The sequence below is a fragment of the Homo sapiens genome, chromosome 5 (assembly GCF_000001405.40).
Source record: "Homo sapiens chromosome 5, GRCh38.p14 Primary Assembly".
Lineage (NCBI taxonomy): Eukaryota > Metazoa > Chordata > Mammalia > Primates > Hominidae > Homo > Homo sapiens.
Genome location: NC_000005.10, coordinates 37,533,038 through 37,553,863, shown reverse-complemented (window position 1 = coordinate 37,553,863; position 20,826 = coordinate 37,533,038). Strand labels below are relative to the sequence as shown.

General features: G+C 37.5%; 1 protein-coding gene across 5 annotated transcripts in view, besides 3 other annotated features; it reads right to left on the bottom strand.

Annotated features, from left to right (window-relative positions):
* Nucleotides 1-20,826, bottom strand: part of WDR70 (WD repeat domain 70) — a 374,118-nt gene that overhangs the window by 199,572 nt on the left and 153,720 nt on the right. The window lies entirely within an intron of this gene.
* Nucleotides 383-677: an enhancer, noted in NCBI's record as "tiled region #4193; K562 Activating DNase matched - State 5:Enh". NCBI's record gives its function as "activates a minimal TATA promoter and a strong SV40 promoter by Sharpr-MPRA in K562 cells {active_cell/tissue: K562}" and the evidence as "EXISTENCE:reporter gene assay evidence [ECO:0000049][PMID:27701403]".
* Nucleotides 383-677: a silencer, noted in NCBI's record as "tiled region #4193; HepG2 Repressive non-DNase unmatched - State 7:EnhWF". NCBI's record gives its function as "represses a minimal TATA promoter and a strong SV40 promoter by Sharpr-MPRA in HepG2 cells {active_cell/tissue: HepG2}" and the evidence as "EXISTENCE:reporter gene assay evidence [ECO:0000049][PMID:27701403]".
* Nucleotides 19,371-20,570: an enhancer, noted in NCBI's record as "CDK7 strongly-dependent group 2 enhancer chr5:37533396-37534595 (GRCh37/hg19 assembly coordinates)". NCBI's record gives its function as "activates an origin of replication core promoter dependent on BRD2, BRD4, P300/CBP, MED14 and CDK7 cofactors, with strong dependence on CDK7, by STARR-seq in HCT116 cells {active_cell/tissue: HCT116}" and the evidence as "EXISTENCE:reporter gene assay evidence [ECO:0000049][PMID:35650434]".

The following is a 20,826-nucleotide window of genomic DNA, read 5'->3' as shown; positions in this document are numbered from 1 at the left end:
TTACAGAAGACAAAATAGAGGCATGGAGACATTAAATAACTTGCCAAAAGTCACACACTTAGTAAATGGCAGAGCCTGGATTCAAACCTAGATATTCTGGCTCCAGAGCCTGTCCTCAGAACTACTACATTATATTTCCTTGCAGCTAAAAGAAATATAGAATGTTTTCAAAATCTGGAGAAAAGACACAATAATGAACTTGTGACTGCGTACCACACTCAATAAAGGTGGTGATTTGCACATAGAAGATACATTTTACACAGCCTCAGCACATGCACAAGCACACATGCGCACGCACAGACACATACACACCTGAAACAAAAACTTCAGGAAACAGTACTGCTTGCGACACACACTGACAATTTCTACTCTATTTTATTTTGTAGAAAATGTTGGTCATGATGCCAAAAAAATCTTAACATTCAGTTTGAAAAAGCACCGCACTACCACAGGATCAGCCTTTAGTACACAACTATCCATTCTGAACAGGATACAGATGGTTGTGGGCTTAAGATAAGAAGGCCAGAGAAGGAATGTGGTATAACGGAGCCAGACGTGAGTTCCAATCCCTAACTCCACCCCTAAATAAATGTGTAACATAGCAAGTCACTTCCTTCTTTCAACCAATGCCTTGAAGATTAAGTTAGGGTATATAAAGCTCCCGGATCACAACACTCATAAAGAAAGGGCTATTTTCTTCCCCCACACCAACTATCAAGTTTACTCTGTTGGCTTAAAGTCCTTTTTATTAAAGCAGGGGCTGAGGTTATTTTGAAGTAAGAAAAGATCCAGAAATTGACAATAGGACTTACTGAAGATTCAAGCACCCTCTTATCTGCAGAGAACTTTCTCAGGCGAGTCTGAGCTAACTTGCAGGCTGAAAAGTACCTACAGGAAAACTCTGCTCTTGGACTATAGAATCTGTGTCTCTTGACAATTAGGGCTTCTTGTTACTCTGAAGAAACAATCCAGAATGAGCCACTTCCATCCTATTGCTGTAACTTAGCATTATGAGTGTCAATGATCACAGGAGACAGGAAAGCACCCTGGAGAGTAAGGACCATGTTGTTTTTATCTCTGTGCATTCAGCTCAAGGCTGGTGCCAAATGTAGCGAACGACCCAAAATAGTAGATATTTTTAAAAAATGTTTGTGGAGTTTAACTGAAGAAAAATTTTCAGCTCTGGCAAATGGAGAAAGGGCACTCTAAATGCAAACCTGTATCTATCATCTTATCATCTGTTTCACTTCTGTGGGACCCCTTTTTTGCCTCTTATTCCTGCACTCAAACAAAAGGTAACCATTCTTGGTAACTACTTTTATGCTATCCACTGCTTTCACTCCTCTTGCTAATCAAAGTCCTTCCTAATGAAAGTTTACCACTGGCTTGCTTCTTTGTAGTTTAAAAATTCTTCTTAACATAGATAACTGGTATTTCTTTAAAGGTCAGGATTAAATTAATGTAGTCTAAGTCTTATTTTACAGATAAAGACACTGGTTCAGAAAGGACAAATACGTTGCCTAAGCTTAGACAAGGAGTAGATGATAGATGTTGAATTTATGTTTCAAGCTTTGCGCGATAGTAATAGCAAACTTGGCCTTTTGTATTTAAAATGCATCTGGTTGAAGGAAACAAAAAACAGAATGGAAGTAAATATATTAAGTATCTACTATGTGCTAAGTACTGTGCCCTCTATACATCATCACATTTAAAGCTTGCAACAAACCTACAAAGTTGTACAAATATTTATCTTATAAATTATCTGGTTGACATAAAAAAAAATATGGAGCTCGGCTGGGTGCAGTAGCTCATGCCTGTAATACCAGCACTTTGGGAGGTCGAAGCAGCTGGAATGCCTGAGGTCAGGAGTTCGAAACCAGCCTGGCCAACATGGTGAAACCCCATCTCTACTGAAAATACAAAAATTAGCCGGGCATGGTGGTGGGCGCCTGTAATTCCAACTACTCGGGAGGCTGAGGCAGGTGAATCACTTGAACCCGGGAGGCAGAGTTTGCAGTGAGCGAGATTGCACCACTGCACTGTAGCCTGGGCGACAGAGTGAGACTCCGTCTCAAAAAAAAAAAAAAAAAAAAAACTAAACAATGAAACAATAAAAAATAATTTTTTTTTTTTTTTGAGAAAGAGTCTCACTTTCTCACCCAGGCTGGAGTGCAATGGCACAGTCTCAGCTCACTGCAACCTCCATCTCCTGGGTTCGAGCGATTCTCCTGCCTCAGCCTCCCAAGTAGCTAGGACTAAGGCATGTGCCACCACACCCAGCTAATTTTTTGTATTTTTAGTAGAGACAGGGTTTCACCATGTTGGCAAGGCTGGTCTTGAACTCCTGACCTCGTGATCCACCTGCCTCGGCCTCCCAAAGTGCCAGGATTAGAGGTGTGAGCCACCATGCCCAGCTAAAATAATAACTTTTTCAAGACACAGACAGCACAATAAGACATAAATAGTAATAACAAAAAGTTAAAAAGCTAGGGGACTATGTTAAGGCACAGTCTTCACTAGTTTTTTTTGTTGTTGTAATTTTTTTTTTGCGGAGGGGGGGAACAAAGTTTTACTCCTGTTGCCCAGGCTGGAGTGCAATGGTGTAATCTCAGCTCACCGCAACCTCTGCCTCCCGGGTTCAAGTGATTCTCCTGCCTCGGCCTCCTGAGCAGCTGGGACTACAGGCATGTGCCACCATGCCTGGCTAATTTTTTGTATTTTTAGTAGAGATGGGGTTTCTCCATGTTGGTCAGGCTGGTCTTGAACTCCTGACCTCAGGTGATCCACCTGCCTCGCCTCCCAAAGTGCTGGGATTACAGGCGTGAGCCACTGCACCCAGCCAGTCTTCACTAGTTTTCTTTTGCTTGTTTGTTGATTTGTTTATGCAAATAACGTTAAGCTGCTATCATCTTAAAATAATGGGTTACAAGATAGTATCTGCAAGCCTCATAGTAACCTCAAACCAAAAAAACATACAACAGATACACAAAAAATAAAAAGCTAAATCAATCACCTTCACTAAGAAACAGACAGGAAGGAAAGAAAGGAAGGAAGAGAAGACCAAAAAATAACCAGAAAACAAATAACAAAATGGCAGGAACAAGTCCTTACTTATCAATAATAACACTGTATGTAAGTGGACTACACTCTCCAATCAAAAGACATGGAGTGGTTCAACAGATAAAAGAACAAGACTCACTGATCTGCTGACTACAGGAAACACACCTCCCCTATAAAGACACACAGACTGAAAATAAAGGGGTGCAAAAAGATATTCCATGCCAATGGAAACCAAAAAAGAGCAGGAGTAGCTATACTTTGTTGACAGAAAACCAGCAAAGAAACATCAGACCTAATCTGCACTGCAGACCAAATGGATCTAATAGACATTTACAGAACATTCCATCCAACAGCTATAGAATATACATTCTTTTCCTCAGCATATGCATCATTCTCAAGAACAGATCATATGTTAGGTCACAAAACAAGTCTTAAAACATTCAGAAAAACTGAAATAGTACCAACTATCTTCTCTGCCCACAATGAAGTAAAACTAGAAATTAATAACAAGAATAATTTTGGAAACTATACAAATACGTGGAAATTGATACATTATATCAACAGAATGAAGGACTAAAACCGTATGATCATTTCAATTGGTGCTGAAAAACCATCAATTTGCTAAAATTCAACATCTCTGCCCAGGCACAGTGGTTCACGCCTGTAATCCCAGGGCTCTGGGAGGCCATGGCAGATGGATGCCTTGAGGCGAGGAGTTCAAGACCAGCCTGTTCAACATGGCAAAACTCCATCTCCACTAAAAAAAATGCAAATATTAGCTGGGCATTGTGACACATGCCTGTAAATCCAGCTACTTGGGAAGTTGAGACACCAGAATCACTTGAACCCGGGAGGTGGAGGTTGCAGTGAGCCAAGATGGTGCCACTGCACTCTCCCTGCATGACAGGGTGAGGCTCTGTCTCAAAAAAAAAAAAGCAAAAAAAAATTCAACATCCCTTCTTGATAAAAACCCTAAAATAACTAAGGATAGAAGGAACATACCTCAACATAATAAAAGCCATGTATGACAGACCCACAGCTAGTATCATACTGAATAGGAGAAAGCTGAAAGCCTTTTCCTTCAAAATCTAGAACACAACAAGGATGTCCACTTTCACCACTGTTATTCAACACAGTGCTGGAAGTCCTAGCTAGTGATCAGATAAAAGAAACCTATAAAAGGCATCCAAATTGTAAATAAAGAAGTAAAATTATCCTTGTTTGCAGATGGTGATATAATCTTATGTTTGCAAAAGTCTAAAGACTCTACCAAAAAACTATGAGAACTGATAAACAACTTCAGTAAAGTTACAGAATACAAAATCAACATAAAAAAATCAGTAGCATTTCTATATGCCAACAATGACCAATCTGAAAAAGAAACTTTTAAAAATCTCATTTACAGTAGCCACACATAAAATTAAATACCTAGGAATTAATTTAACCAAAGAAGTAAAAGATCTCTACAATGAAGACTATAAAAAACTGATGAAAGAAATTGAAGAGGACACCAAAAAATGGAAAAATATTCTATGTTCATGGATTAGAAGAATCAATATTGTTAAAATGTCCATACTACCCAGAGCAATCTACAGATTCAATGCAATCCCTATCGAAATACCAATGACATTCTTCACAGAAATAAACTATCCTAAAATTTACATGGAACCACAAAAGACTCAGAATAGTCAAAGCTATCCTAAGCAAAAAGAAGAATACTGGAGGAATCACATTACCTGACTTCAAATTATAACCAGAGTGACAGTAACCAGAACAGCATGGTACTGGCCTAAAAACAGATACACAGACCGATAAAACAGAATAGGGGATCCAGAAACAAATCCACACACCTGTAGTGAACTAATTTTTTACAAAGGTGCCAAGAACATACACTGAGGAAAAGACAGTCTCTTCAATAAATGGACTGGGAAAACTGGATATCCATATGCAGAAGAACAAAACTAGACCCCTATCTCTTGCCATATACAAGAATCAAATCAAAATGGATTAAAGAATTAAATCTAACAGCTCAAACTATGAAAATACTACGAGAAAACATTAGGGAAACTCTCCAGGACATCGGTCTGGGCAAAGATTTCTTGAGTAATACCCCACAAGCACAGGCAACCAAATCAAAAATGAAGAAATGGAATCATATCAAGTTAAAAAGTTTCTGCACAGCAAAGGAAACAATCAACAAAGTGAAGAGACAACCCACAGAATGGAAGAAAATACTTGCAAACTACCCATCTGGCAAGGGATTAATAACAAAAATATATAAGGAGCTGAAACAACTCTATAGGAAAAAAATCTCTAATAATCTGATTTAAAAATGGGCAAAAGATCTGAGTAGACATTTCTCAAAAGAAGAAATACAAATTGCAAACAGACATATGAAAATGTGCTCAGCATCACTGATCACCAGACAAATGAAAATAAAAACAAGAGATATCATCTCACCCCAGTTAAAATGGTTTTTATCCAAAAGGCAATAACAAATGCTAGCAAGGATATGGAGAAAAAGGAACCCTCATACTAATGTTGGGAATGTAAATTCATAAAACCACTATGGAGAACAGTTTGGAGGTTCCTCCAGAAAGCTTAAAATAGAGATACCATATAATTCAGCAATCCCACTGCTGGGTACATACCCAAAAGAAAGGAAATCAGAATATCAAAGAGCTTTCTGCACTCCCATGTTTGTTGCAGCTCTGTTCACAATAACCAAAATTTGAACCCAAACTAAGTGTCCATCAACAGATGAATGGATAAAGAAAATATGGTACTCATACACAATGGAGTACTATTCAGCCATAAGAAAGAATGAGATTCAGTCATTTGTAACAACATGGATGGAACTGGGGTTAATTATGTTAAATTAAATAATCCAGGCAAAGAAAGACAAATTTTACATGTTCTCACTTATTTGTGAGATCCAAAAATCAAAATAATTGAGCCCATGGAGATAGAGTAGAAGGATAGTTACTAGAGGTTAGGAAGAGTAGTTGGGGGATTAGGGAGGAGGTAGGGATGATTAATGGGTACCAAAAAAATTGAATGAATAAATGAATAAGGCCTAATATTTTTGATAGCACAACAGGGTTACTATAGTCAATAATCATTTAATCGTACATTTAAGAAAACTAAAAAAGTATAACTGGATTGTTTGTAACACAAAGGATAAATGCTTGAGGTGACAGATATTCCATGTTCCATGATGTGATTATTACAGATTGTATATCTGTATCAAAACATCTCATGTACCCCATAAATATATACACTTACTATGTACCCACAAAAAATAAAATAAACTTTAAAAATAAAAACATAACAGAAAAGAAGGGATTTAGAAATAGTATACAAATAAATTTGCCATGTAGTAAGTCACAGAAACTTAGAAATTTAAAGGACAGTTTTAAAAAGAAAACCCACTTATTATAATATGCAAGTCTTTGCAGAAAAGTCAAAGTCAAAACAAAGAGATATTTTAACTTTATGAACTTCAAGAACTGCAAAGTCCACAATATGGAAATACCTTTATTTCCATCCCTGCAACTAAATTCAATTCATGAATTTTCATAGGAACAGCATTCTCCTTCATATACTACTATTTGATAAATGGCCAACAGGGTCACCACACACAAGAATACTGGTGCATCATACATGAACAGATTTATTTAATCATGTGTGAATTTAAACATGCAGTGGATTGGCTGTCCTTGATGCTACCTTGCCTGACCTAGAAATCCCTAGAAGAAATTCAACCCAACCTCTATCAAATCCTCTGTTAATATAGGGAAACCTGTAAACAAGTATACTCTCCAACTCTTTGGAGACTTCTACATTCTTCTTTAAAAATAAACACATACATAATTTTTTTTTTTTTTGAGACAGAGTCTCACTCTGTTGCCCAGGCTGGAGTGCAGTGGCATGGTCTCAGCTCACTGCAACTCTGCCTCCCAGGTTCAGGCAATTCTCCTGCCTCAGCCTCCTGAGGAACTGAGACTACAGAGTGTGCCACCACGCCTGGCTAATTTTTGTATTTTTAGTAGAGACGGGGTTTCACTATGTTGGCCAGGCTGGTCTTGAACTCCTGACCCGAGGTGCTCCGCCCGCCTCAGCCTCCCAAAGTCCTGGGATTACAGGCGTGAGCCACCGCATCTGGTCTAAATTCATAAATAAATATTTTAAAATCAAATTGACTTAACACTTCAAGATGTACTAATGATAATATTAACTATTTTTCATATTGATTTCAGGATAAAAAAGAAAATACTGATTTGCATCTTCTACAGTATATAATCCCTATATAGGAATTATTGTTCAGCATTTATGTTCATGTAGCCAAAATAAATTACTGACTAAAAGTGGTGAAAAGTGTATAATATAGTAAAACATAACAAACTTGAACTTTATCAAACTTTCCTCCAACATTTTTGAAGGTGTAGACATCTTACCCGTTACATATGGCAATACAGAACACGTGAGCAACATTCTGCGTAAAAATTACATAAAACTTACAGCAAGGTTAATGTGACATTAAATGTTTTTTCATTCCTAGACATATGAGGTCAAGTTTTATATATTAAACGTATGATAAAAATATGTCTAAGTAAGCTGAAAGTACTAGAAAAATGTAAATTAAACAAAGGCCATCCAAACATAACAGGAGCAAACACGTACATAAAATTTAAAGGCTTAATTATAAATAACTCTTCCCTGATCAATACATTTAACTCCTCCAGTAATATTTTATTATCTTATATTGGATATAAAATAAAAATCACAGTAATAATTCTGCATCTATTTTATTAATAATGCTGAAAAATCACATTATACTTTTTTGAGATATTATAAATCAGGCTTTTTAGTGAGCTTAATTATGTCACCAGTAAACACAATAATGAAAATAAAGTCAAAGCTATTAACTTTTTAAGTGTTGGTAACTACTTAAACAGATAATTACTAAAAAGCACCCTTGGCTGGGCGTCGTGGCTCACAGCTGTAATGCCAGCACTTTGCGAGGCCAAGGCAGGTGGATCACCTGAGGTCAGGAGTTCTAGAACAGCCTGGCCAACATGGTGAAACCCTGTCTCTACTAAAAATACAAAAAAATTAGCTGGGCATGGTGGTGCATACCTGTAATCCCAGCTACTCAGGAGAAAATTGCTTGAAGCCGGGAGGCGGAGGTTGCAGGGAGCTGAGATCAGCCACTGCGCTCCAGCCTGGGTGACAGAGTGAGACTCTATCTCAAAAAAAAAACAAAAACAAAAACAAAAACAAAATTAAATAAATAAAAATAAAAAGCACACTTATGGCTTCAAAATGAAAAATTATGAGATTATGTTAAAGAATAACTTAAATTAAAAAAATCAAATAATTAAATTAGTTACAAGCTATATCAGACATTGCAGGAACGTAATGTAAACAGTATATTTTCCATTTCTATGAGGGTATCAAAAAATCACACACTATGCCAATTGCTTATGCCTTCTTCTGCACCAATTCTAAAAAGCTAGGACCAACACTACCCTATCTCCACTGTATTAGAAGCAGAAAACTGAAGGAAAGACTGAGGTATTTCTACAGAATTGTCATACCAACAGCTGCTAAGATGTAACAATTTAAAAGACAGAAATCCAAAAAATAAAAATAGCGGTCAATAACTCAAAAGCTATAAATAGGTCTACATTGTCAAGACATATTATATCACAATGAAATAAATTATAAATTACAGAGATGTTAAATTATATTCAAAACACTCATGAATAATGTAGGAAACTGTATACTTTGTTTCCCCCCAAAATACTTAAAATACAGAAGAAGAAACTTTCAGTTACAGAAAAGTTTACTTTTCTGAGATTCACTTATGTGAATCATTGTTCCTTATAGAATTTTATAATTATATTGACATTATAAAAATCAAATGATATCTGCCTAGCAGCCTTCCAGCAAAAGCTTATGAGATCCAACATGACCCACATCTGCTCTATATAACAGATGCTCATCAAGATATAAGAGAAACCCTCACATCCAAATGAATCCAAGGCTAGTTTTAAATATGAACGCCAACTATACTCAAGGCTTTACACATTTAATTCAGGTTAGAATCTTGGGAATCAAGTATTATCCCATTTTATAGGAATCTAAAACTTAGTAGTGAATTCCTTAGTCAAAAAGCTACTGGTGGAGCACCCAAGTTCCTCTGGTTCTCACTACAAAGTACACACTCTTTCCATTATGCCATGCCATAATTTATCAAAAACTTTAATTTTATAATTCATCTTTAGAAGCTATAACCAAATTTTAAAATATTTATAATTTACTGAAGCCTATCATCAAAAGCATTTACTAGTGACAATCTTCATTTCTCCAAGTGTATTCCTAAGAACACTATACCCCAAGTATAACATATGTTATTGACTGTGGGGAGAGAGGATAATTTGTATCAATATGTCTGGAAAATGCTGGTTTCTTTTGTTAATATAGCTCTCAGGATGTTTAATGTACTTACTCTTTGGCACTGTGCCTCTCCAAGTGGAAGACTAAAGAACTCTTTCTCCATGGATATTCTATAGTTACAAGCAGTCTGAGGCATGGACTTAGGAAATCCTGTTATGTATAATCCAATGCAGACAATCCCTGACCACTGGGCTCTCATAATCTAAACCAGCACTAATAGGCAGAAACTTAAAATACACTGAAAAGATATCCTCCAAAAACCTGATTAAGACCAGGTGTGGTGGCTCACTCCTGTAATCCCAGCACTTTTGGGAGGCTGAGGCAGGTGGATCCCTTGACGTCAGGAGTTCGAGACCAGACTGGCCAACATGGTGAAACCCCGTCTCCATTAAAAATACAAAAAAGATTAGCCAGGTGTGGCAGTGGGCACCTGTAATCCCAGCTACTCAGGAGGCTGAGGTGGCAGAATCGCCTGAACCCAGGAGGCGGAGGTTGTAGTGAGCTGAGATCATGCCACTGCACTCCAGCCTGGGCGACAGAGCGAGACTCCATCTCCAAATAAACAAACTTGATTACATAGAGTGCAACAAACTATAATCTTTATGACCCTTTTTTTCTCTATCTCAAATTCAGCTTTTAAAGGAAAAAAAAGGTGAGGTTGGGGAGATGATGTCCAAGTAAGCCAATATTAAGAAATGCTCCAAACATTTTATTTTGAAAAGATTCAAAGCTACAAAAAAGTTTAAATAGTACAATAAATATGTCCTTTTCAACAAACACAATATAACAGTTCATCATATCTGTATTCTCAATCTCTCTCTCTCTCTTTCTCTCCATATATATATACATGCACACACACAAGACCACACACACTTTATTTTTGCTATACCATTTAAAAGAAAGTGCATATTTCGTAATATTTCACACCTATTCATCAGCTGGTATCTTCTAAGAACAAAAAAACATTTTTCTTCATAAACAGGTTTCTACATAACATGATTCAGTAATATCACTGTATCAGTTTACAAATGATACATAACCAATCATTCCCAAAATTCAATAGCTTAACATAACCATCATATATCATTGCTTACACATCAACCAGCCAGCTAGGTAGTTCTGTCCTAGCTGGGTTAACTCATATGTCTGTGGTGAATTTTGCTGATCTAGGCTAAGCTCTCTGACAAGTTTGGGGGTTGGCGGGATATAAGATGGTCTAGGATGGCCTGAGCTGAGACAACTGACCTTTCTTCTACCAACTCTTTCACCCTCCAGGATAGCCAGGGCTAGATCGGACAGCAAATGTCATAGTTCCCAAGGGAATATAAGCATGCAAGAACTTGTGCCTGTGCTCCAAACGGACACACCATAACTTCTGCCACTTTTTGTTGACAAGCTCAGATTCGTGGGGTGAATAAACAGAGATGGCCCCTTAATGGGAGTAGCTGCAAAGTCACATTGCAAAGGGCATGGATATAAGCAAAGATGAAGAATTGTGGTCATATTTGCAATTAATGAGTCATATCACCTAATAATAAAAATTTCCCCAACTGTCCCAAAAATGTATCTTTATTGCTGTGTTCTGGTCTTTTCTTCCTTTCTTTCCTTCTTTTCTTGGGAGAAAATAAGATGAGATCAAGGTTCACAAATTACATGATTTGTGTAATGCCTGCCATGATTCCTTAAGCAGTTCCTTACCTCTCTTTCTTTCATGATATTGACATTTCATGACACTCAGTTGCTCAAAAGAAACTAAAGTGGGCCGGGGCACATTGGCTCACACCTGGAATCCCAGCACTTTGAGAGGCTGAGGTGGGCGGATCACGAGGTCAGGAGTCAGAGGCCAGCCTGACCAACATGTGGTAAAACCCCGTCTCTACTAAAAATACAAAAAATTAGCCGGGCATGGTGGTGCATGCCTGTAATCCCAGCTACTCAGGAGGCTGAGGCAGGAGAACTGCTTGAACCCGGGAGGTGGAGGTTGCAGTGAGCCGAGATCACGCCACTGCACTCCAGCCTGGGTGACAGAGCAGGACTCTTTGTCCCAAAAAAAAAAAAAAAGAAGAAGAAGAAGAAAAAACTAAAGCGACTAGATTTAATGTCTGTAAATATTCATTTCACAGTATATAAAACAAGTCTAAATATGAAATTATGTCTTTTACTTATAGGTAAAATCATCTAATCATGGTTGACTATGTATTTTTTCATGCTCTAGATGGTATATCACTGAGAGCCTAAATTAGTATTTCTCTATATTCTTCAGTAAGTCCATCTCCTCTCTAATTCCCTACTTTTTCATAAAAAGAATTTACACCAATACACATATTTCAAATGCCCATGTGACACTTTCCCTAATTCTCCCAAGCAGTAATGTTAGCAACCCTTCCTCTATGCTCCCAGTATCTATGTGTTGCCATTGCCAGTGAAAGTTTTTAATACGGCATGTTCAGCCTAACTTTCCTCACCATTGCATCCTGGAGTAAAAGTTATATTCAATTTGATTTTTTTTAAAGTCTCTGGTTCTTACTTCTACCAACTATTGGGAATTCTAACCCTCAAAGAATTATTCAGTACTTGGGGGTCATTTTTTACAAATGCTTGCAAATGGATCCTACGGCTATTGTGTGACATCTGCCAGTTCCTCTTCTTTTATTTCACCCTTGATCCACTTTCTCCATGCCCACCTTTTTAAAAAAGAATTAGAATGGGCCTGCCACTGCCTCACTATTCTTCCATATTTCTTCTCTCTTCTGACTATGGAAAAAAAACATTATTTTTCTGCTTTTTCCTCCTTGTTAACCTATTAAATGCACAGATAAACATTTCACAATGAGTTACTATGAAAAATAGGATTAGATAAAAATAACAAACACTGAGGAGGTAAAACTTCACAGAAGTACTTTTTTAAGTATTAGCAAGTTATTCAAAACATTTTCTAAAATGCAAATCGTTGAAAGTTTTCTTCAGAGTGCCTCCCTGTCTCTGCCAAAAACACAATTCCCCACAGCTGAAAGTTTTAGTGATTATTCATCAGTTAATAGAAAAAAAAAATCATTCATTAAGTCCTTAACTTTACTGGTTTACTTTTCCTTTCATTTCAAAAGTAATCAATTCTTCCATTAGGACTACACAAAGTGGAAGGCACAGTGAAAATGGGTTAAGTCACTCACAGTGAAGGGACTATTCTGCCACAAAGAAGGTGGACAAACAAGCACTTCAGTTTCCCTTTTTGAAAAGTGAGGCAATTAACTCTGTGGTAGTTAAGACTCTTTTTTAAAATTTCTGTGTTTCTTACTTACACATAGAAGGTGTTTGATAATAATCTGCTGAATTAAAGATTATATTACTACACCAATAGATGGGGAAAGCATTTGAATGCTGAGTTTTATAACCCCTATTCAACATTTGGTCTCTAATAAATTCTTAATAAAGTATTAAGTAGATTTTAAAAAAATAAAATATCAAAACATACAACAAGTAGATTCACAAAGAGTGAGAAAATCATGACAAAAGGCATCATGAAACACATTTCTACTGCAAGTTCTAGACTGCAGAAACTGTTTTTGAAAATGCAACTTAAAATCATGTAAAAGAATACATTTTAAAATTATGGGAAATAAGTCAATTCTAACTACTTTAGATGTTATAAAAGAAGGACGTTAGGCCAGGGGCAATGGCTCACGCCTGTTATCCCAGCACTTTGGGAGGCCGAGGCGGGTGGATCACGAGGTCAAGAGATCAAGACCATGCTGGCCAACATGGTGAAATCCCATCTCTACCAAAAATACAAAAATTAGCTGGGCATGGTAGTGTGCGCCTGTAATCCCAGCTACTCAGGAGGCTGAGGCAGGAGAATGGCTTGAACCTGGGAGGCGGAGATTGCAGTGAGCCGAGATTGTGCCACTGCACTCCAGCCTGGCAAACAGAGTGAGACTCCATCTCAAAAAACAAACAAAAAAAGAACAATGTTAGTAGAAAATGAATTATATATAACAGCAGGATAGGTCTAACTTTTAAGATTTGTGAGAAGGTAGATATTTTAAATTGTGGAAAGGCAAGGAAATTCATAGCTTTGCAGCCAAACATCAAGCATTCTTACAATCATTCAGCAAACGTATTTGTTCTGGGTCCTGAGTGTTTAAAATATTTTACTGTATTTTATCCCGAGGCTGTAGATTATAATCAACTGTCAGTTATTTGTCAATTATAAATCTCAACAATACTCCATGTAGGCTTAAATTTTAAATGGCAAAAAGAAAATAAGAATCATTCTAAATTCTGATAACAACTTAATATAAAGCAGTCAATTGTTACTACTGTTCATTTTTCATAATCAAACACTGAGTAGATCAAAAGTCACAAACTTTTTTCAACTGAAATCTCCAAGAATGCCACAGAAATGTGTAGGTGAATCTGCCTTCCATTTAATGTGATCGCTAAAAGACAGAATTTTGGGACTTCAGGACAAACATAATCTGGTGAAGGGGCGTAATTCTAGATGCCTATTATTCCTGTGCTGTAATATTTATCCTTATTGGGGAAAAAATGGACAAGTTTAGTGATGTACTAATGTCTCTCAGCAGTAGGCAGACTCGCCAAAGGCATACAAAGTAGAATGGTAAGACGCCTCAAACAACAAGGGACCCTGAACATTCCATTATTGGGCACATTCCTGTGCACAGGTTTGTACATGTGTGCAAGTCTTAAGTTCCTCTAACACTTCCCCCTCTCTGTTAGTTTGCTAGGGCTGCCACAACAAAGTGCCACAGACTGGGTAGCTTAAACAACAGAAATTTTATTGTCTCACAGTTTTGGGGACTAGAAGTCCAAGTTCAAGATGTCAGCAGGTTTGATTTCTGAAGCCTTTTTCCTTGTTTTGCTGATAGATGGGCACTTTCTCACTATGTCCTCACATGGTCTTTTCTGTGTGGCTGTGCATCCCTGGTGTCTTTGTCTTCTTATAAGGATACCAGTCATATTGGATTAGGGCCCACATTCATAGCCTCATACTCTTTAAAGACCTTAACCCTAAATACAGCCAATTCAGCCCATAACACCCTCTCCTCCCCAAAATGTTATGGCAACAACTCATAAAAATCACAGTGTATAACAAGAATAGTAGTGGGAAAATTAGAAGTGGCAGAAGTATCAAAAATCTTATTACATCAAAGATGTAAATATGACAATTAGCTGGATATGGAGGCGAAAGCAGTTGTAACAGATCTGAACCAACCTGGAGATAAAAATTCCTGAGTATGTAATAGAAAAACCCTTCAAATAATGAAAGCATCTGATTCACTCATCAGTACCAATGGGCTGAGCTCTGTGCTGAGTTGGAACTGGCTTAGTAAAAATTCTATACTGTGGACTCAGATTATACTAGTGTCATTTATGTTCTCACTTGGTACACTATTACAATTCAAATTAGAAAATAGTTCCTCATTAGATCATAGAAATTCACAAGTAGAAATTACTTCCTTTGGATAAGTAAGCATTTTTTAATCTTCATTATCATCTGGTTTTCATTAACATTTACTTCCAAGTAAAATGTAGTAAGTTCTATTAATACTTCATCATTAATTTTCATTCTGGTAAACTTAAGAGAACCAAAAAGACTGCCATCTTGCCCTCTTCCTCTTCATTTCATTCCTACATTGGCCTCATCTCAGGTTTATGTTTTATACTGAAACTCCTGGAATTAAAAAGTTAAGGCACTAGCATCTCCAACTCACACTCAGAAAAGATGTCCACAATTTAACTTAGTATACATGAGGCCAGAACAAAACAATGAGTGCTAGCTTGGCCTTCACTGGAATAGTTTCTCACAATTGCCATCTGAATCCTCCCCCCAACTGCATCTAAACCAATTCTTATGTGCTGTTTACATGAATGTCTCACATTGACCTAGTCAGAGCTCTCCAGCCACTACAATACTAGCAACAGCTATAACCGTGAAAACATTCATCGTGTGTATTAAGCAGTAAGTGCATAACGCTGTGATAATACAAGAGGTGTTGAGATGAATAAACTTTTATCCAGAGGCTATCTACACCATGGTCATAGTATTCAAAATATGTAGCTTCCAGTTGCCCAAAATGAGAGGCAGGAGAGGAGAGATAGAAAGCAAGAATGCGAAAAAGAAGAAGATACTACCATTATGAATACAACAGAGCCTGCTAAAATGATCCTAATTTAAAACCTAAATAGCCCTCAATAAAGTCTTCCAAGGGAGTGAGGAGTTTATAAAACGTGCAGTTGATGTTTCTCTCTGCCATGCTAACCAACGTAGAAGAGAATAAGATAAAGCAATGAAAAGCAGAGTGGCACTCTGATATATAAGATTCTCTAAGAAATATAGAGTGAATTTTGCCCAAAGGCCCTCACTGAACTAATTCCTGAACCAAAAGAGTATTTCTTAATCCAAAACTTTACAGTATTAGACCTACGAATTCTGATGATGCCTGATCAGATGCTAGTTGTTCTCGACAATCCATGCAGTTTTCCAGTATGAAGGAAAGTAACAAATATACCATGGTTATTCTTATTTCTTTCTGAAAAATATCTAGGATATTTTATAGTGTCATGTGGTAAAATATTCATTTGACAATCACAATGAAGTATAATCAGAAGTATTAGCAATTTTACTTTGTTTATCCTGTTAATCCAGAGTTTGCTCAACAATAAAATTAAGCCATTTAATAAAACCAATAATAAAATTAAAAGCTTTTTACCCTAATGTCTTAGGATAAAAAAACAGAACCATGATTCTGGGTGCTAATTGCCCATTTTAAACAATGGAAGCTTTTGATCTCCAAGGATAATATATGTACTCCTCCTAACCTTGTGGAGTAGTAGCGGTCATTATTTTTAAATATTGATAGCTCAATTCAAGTCATATTCTCTCTTGGACTGAGAAAGACTTGCAAGTACATTTTAATCAAACTACTATTCATCAGATTATATTTACAAGCCCACAGATCCCATTCCTGTGCTCCTTTGCCTCTCCTTCCCACTTCCTATGTTTACATGTCCAGGTCCACTCACCTTTCCTTTATGGGAGCATTCAACCCAGATGCAATATGAGTACACTTTCTTATATCATGGATATTTTCCCAAAATTTTTGTCATATACAGTATTTTCTTCCCAACTGCTTCCGCTTACTGCTAAAATTTCTTCTAGATTTATTAAACATACCTTTTCCAAAAAATATCTGAGAAACTAAACTTAAAAACAAAGCAAACTTTGAAAAACAATTCTGTATTCCCGGGGTTTGGATTTTAATTCAAATTGTTAGATGACCTTAGAGGTTCCATAAGGTTTTTATTTATGGCTATGGTTATAAAATCCACCTTCTGGAGAAATGGGGAACTTGGACATGGGGCCAGATAATAGAAAATGAGGGAAATATTCTTCATTTTAAGAGGCCAGTATCTCTGTTCCAAAGTCCAATAAAGGTATTACAAAAAGAATTTAAAAGTCCTCTAGAGAGGAAAAAAAAATTTTCTTGTCAACATAAAATTGAAATTGTAAATAAAATACAAAATTCCTAAATAGAGCAGAATTTTTTTTCAGTGAAAAACTATGGTTTACTACAGGAATGTAAGACTAGTTTAACATCAGAAAATATATTAATAAACTTCTGCACAATAAAAGACCAAAAGAAAAACAACAGCAAGATTACATCAAATATTAGGAAAAACCATTTGATGAAGTTCAACACCTATGATAAAATTAGAAATACAGGTTTGAGTATCCCTAATCCAAAAATCCAAAATCCTCCAAAATCTGTAACTTTCTGAGTGCTTTTTGAGGCATTATTTATTGCAGATTTTCAGTTTAGGGATACTCAACCAGTAATACAAATATTCCAAAATCTAAAAAAAATCTGAAATCCAAAATACTTCTGGTCCCCAGCATTTCAGGTAACATTTACTCAACCTGTAGAATAAAATTTCTTTATTTTAATAATGTTATGTGCCAAATCCAACATACTTTAAGAAAAAAATATTTTAAAACAAAAGCCATATATTAGGATTTGAAGAGAAGTAATGAAACTGCTTTTATTTGATGGCTATTTTCAATTTTATCTGCTGTCTTCAGCAAGAAGGAATATACATATATCTTATCTAAAAGAAATAACAGATTGCTAAGAAACCATGGGAATACAATGAAACCCAGTCTACTTATACTGATGAGATCTTGGAGATGAGTAAGATAATCCTCATCACAGTCAGACAATGTGGTAGCACCACCACTGTAGTGCCCTACAAGAGAAATTCAATGCAAAGGAAATTTGTCCTTCCAAAGGGGAGAATACTGCAACATGTTTCTAAAAAGTAAGTTCTTGTATCCATTACTTATATAAAAGAGATTTGCATCTTCTGCCTATATCTGTAAATCAATCATCATCACGTTTGTGACAACCATTCATAAAGTGTACAAACCACTCAGTGGGTTCACATTCTGGCTCATGTTATCCAAGCAACACTTGGAATTATGTGTCCTTGGGAAAAATATAATCAGTTTCTTCATTTAGAATATGTAATAACATTACCACCTATCCGACTGCTGTGAAGAAAACATAATATAAAGTGCTTCAGACATATAATATGTATTGCCCAGTGCTGGTATATATTAAGTTCTCAATAAATGTTAACTATTATGAGCTAGTATCCCAATGTTACCTCACTGGAAAATGTTAACAACCTGTGAAGAGACCATTTCTATTGACTTTGACTTTCCAATAATATTATGGTACTTCCAGAGAGGAGCAAGAGTCAATTTTTTAAATTTTAATTTAATTTTAAAAATACAGTACAGATTTAGTACTCTTCAATGGCTTGGCTTGTCATTACTTTAAAATTTTAGCACTTTATATTTTAGCCCACAACACCTTATTTCAGTGGCCCTGTCCTCTTTTCCAAACTCATTTCCTATCACTCTCACTTTTCCTACCAATCTATGAAATGTCAACTACTAGTCTTTTCTTTCCCTCAAATATGCCATATTGCATTCACATTTCAAGGCCATTAAATATAATAGGATTTTGTCCAGGAAAAGTTCTTTCCCTGTGGCTGCCTCCTTTGCATAATTTAAGCCTCAACTTAAAAAAAAAAAAGTCAATTCCAAGGCTTTCTCTGACTACTCTACGTGCAGTAGACCCCTCTCTCCTACTCTTTATCGTTTTGCTTTAACTTTACTCTTAACACTTACTACTAGAGAAACTATTTTATTTATTTATTACTAGCTGTACCTTATCTGTCTCCCAGCACTCATCTACACTAGAATATAAGCCCTATGAAGGCAGAAACTTAGATCACATAGTGAGCAAACAATATTTGCTGAGTGAAACAGGCAACTGGGTTGATATTCCACAGCTTAACTTATAACTAATTACTACACTCTGAGGTGAGAAAAAAAAAAATCAACCAAACAGCAAACCATCTGAATTTATTACTGGCAGATTTCTCTAAAAGGTTGTAAAGAATATATATAATGGGAGTCTACAATTAAAGATTCCTGATCCTCACACAGAACTATGGCTGAAGAAAGCCTGACTTGTGGCCAGGTGCGATGGCTCATGCCTGTAATCCCAGAACTTTGGGAGGCTGAGGCGGGCGGATCACCTGAGGTCAGGAGTTCGAGACCAGCCTAGACTCTACTAAAAATACAAAAATTAGCCAGGTGTGGTGGTGGGAGCCTGTAATCCCAGCTACTCAGGAGGCTGAGGCAGGATAATCGCTTGAACCCAGGGGGCGGAGGTTGCAGTGAGCCCAAATTGTGCCTCTGCACTCCAGCCTGGGCGACAGAGCAAGACTTTTGTCACAAAAAAAAAAAAAAAGCCTGATTTGTACAGTATGGGGGGAAAAACTGATATGCATTTTCAAAGGTACAATATACTATGAAATCAATGATTTGGACAGGGAACTAAAGAATTATCTTTTAAAGGAATGGGATAAACTACATTTTATACCCAGTAAAAGATGTCACACCTGTGGAACTTTATCTAAACTGTTGTTTAGAGAATTAATACAGTTAAATAGATTTCCTTATACCCCATTCAAAACCTTTTAAATGGACTTTAAGATGGCGAATAGGAGGCAGGACTAGCTTGCAGCTCCCGCTCAGACAGGCAGAGCAGTGTGTAGAGACTCACATCATGAACAGTGTTCATGAACAGTATTGAGCAGAACTTCAGGCTGGTACTAGGGTGTGTCTGCAAAGAGTCCTGTGATATGATTCATCTTCAGGTCTTGCAGCCCTGGATAGCAGCACCAAGAATTTCCACAGGAACATACCAGGAAAGCTGAGAGAATCCATAGACCCTTTGAGGTAACTGGATCACCACTGCAGGCTCCCTGAGTCACCGAAAAACTGTAAGTCTGCTTGCTTTCTCAACAGGGAGGTTCACGGTCTGGGGCAAGTTCTCAGCCCTGGTCACCAGCTGCCTGGAAATAGACTCGATGCAGGTGAGGGGGCACGGCAGGAATGAGACTGGCCTTTAGGACTGGGGACTGCATGGGAGTGGAGACAGGTCTGTGACTGCAGGCTTTCCCCCACTTCCCTGGTAACCTGTGTAACTCAGCAGAGGCAGCCATAATCTCCCTGGGAATATAACTCCATTGGACTAGGAACCACACCCCCATCCCCCACAGCAGCCAAAGCGAGCCCCATGCCCAAGGAGGGAATGAGCACAGACACACCTATCCCTTCCCCAAGCTGGTGGTTTTTCTCTACTTGCCCAGGTAACCAAAGACAAAGGTCAAAATCTCTTGAAAGCTCTATGGCCCCGCCCACTGCCTGAAAAACCTGAATACTTAACCAGGTATTCCTAGAACGTGGTGGTGGTGGTGGTGGTGGTGGTGGTGGTGGTGGTGGTGGTGATTGTTTTGTTGTTTTGTTGTTGTTTTAAGTAGAGACAGGGATTCACCATGTTGGTCAGGATAGTGTCGAACTCCTGACCTCAAGTGATACGCCCATCTCGGCCAAAGTGCTGGGATTACAGGAATAAGACACTGTGCCCAGCCCGTAGGGCAAGTCCACATCCTCGCTATAGGACCACAGCTGATGCACTCTTGAAAGCACCACCTCCTGGCTGGAGGCCAACCAACACAAAATGACGCACCAAACAAAAACACAACCAAGGATGCTCACAGAGTCCACTTCACTCCCCTGCTACCTCTACTGGTTCGGGTGCTGCTATCCAGGGCTGCAAGACCTGAAGATGAATCATATCACAGGACTCTTTGCGGACACACCCCAGTACCAGCCTGAAGCTCAGTAGCTCCACTGGACGGCTAGAC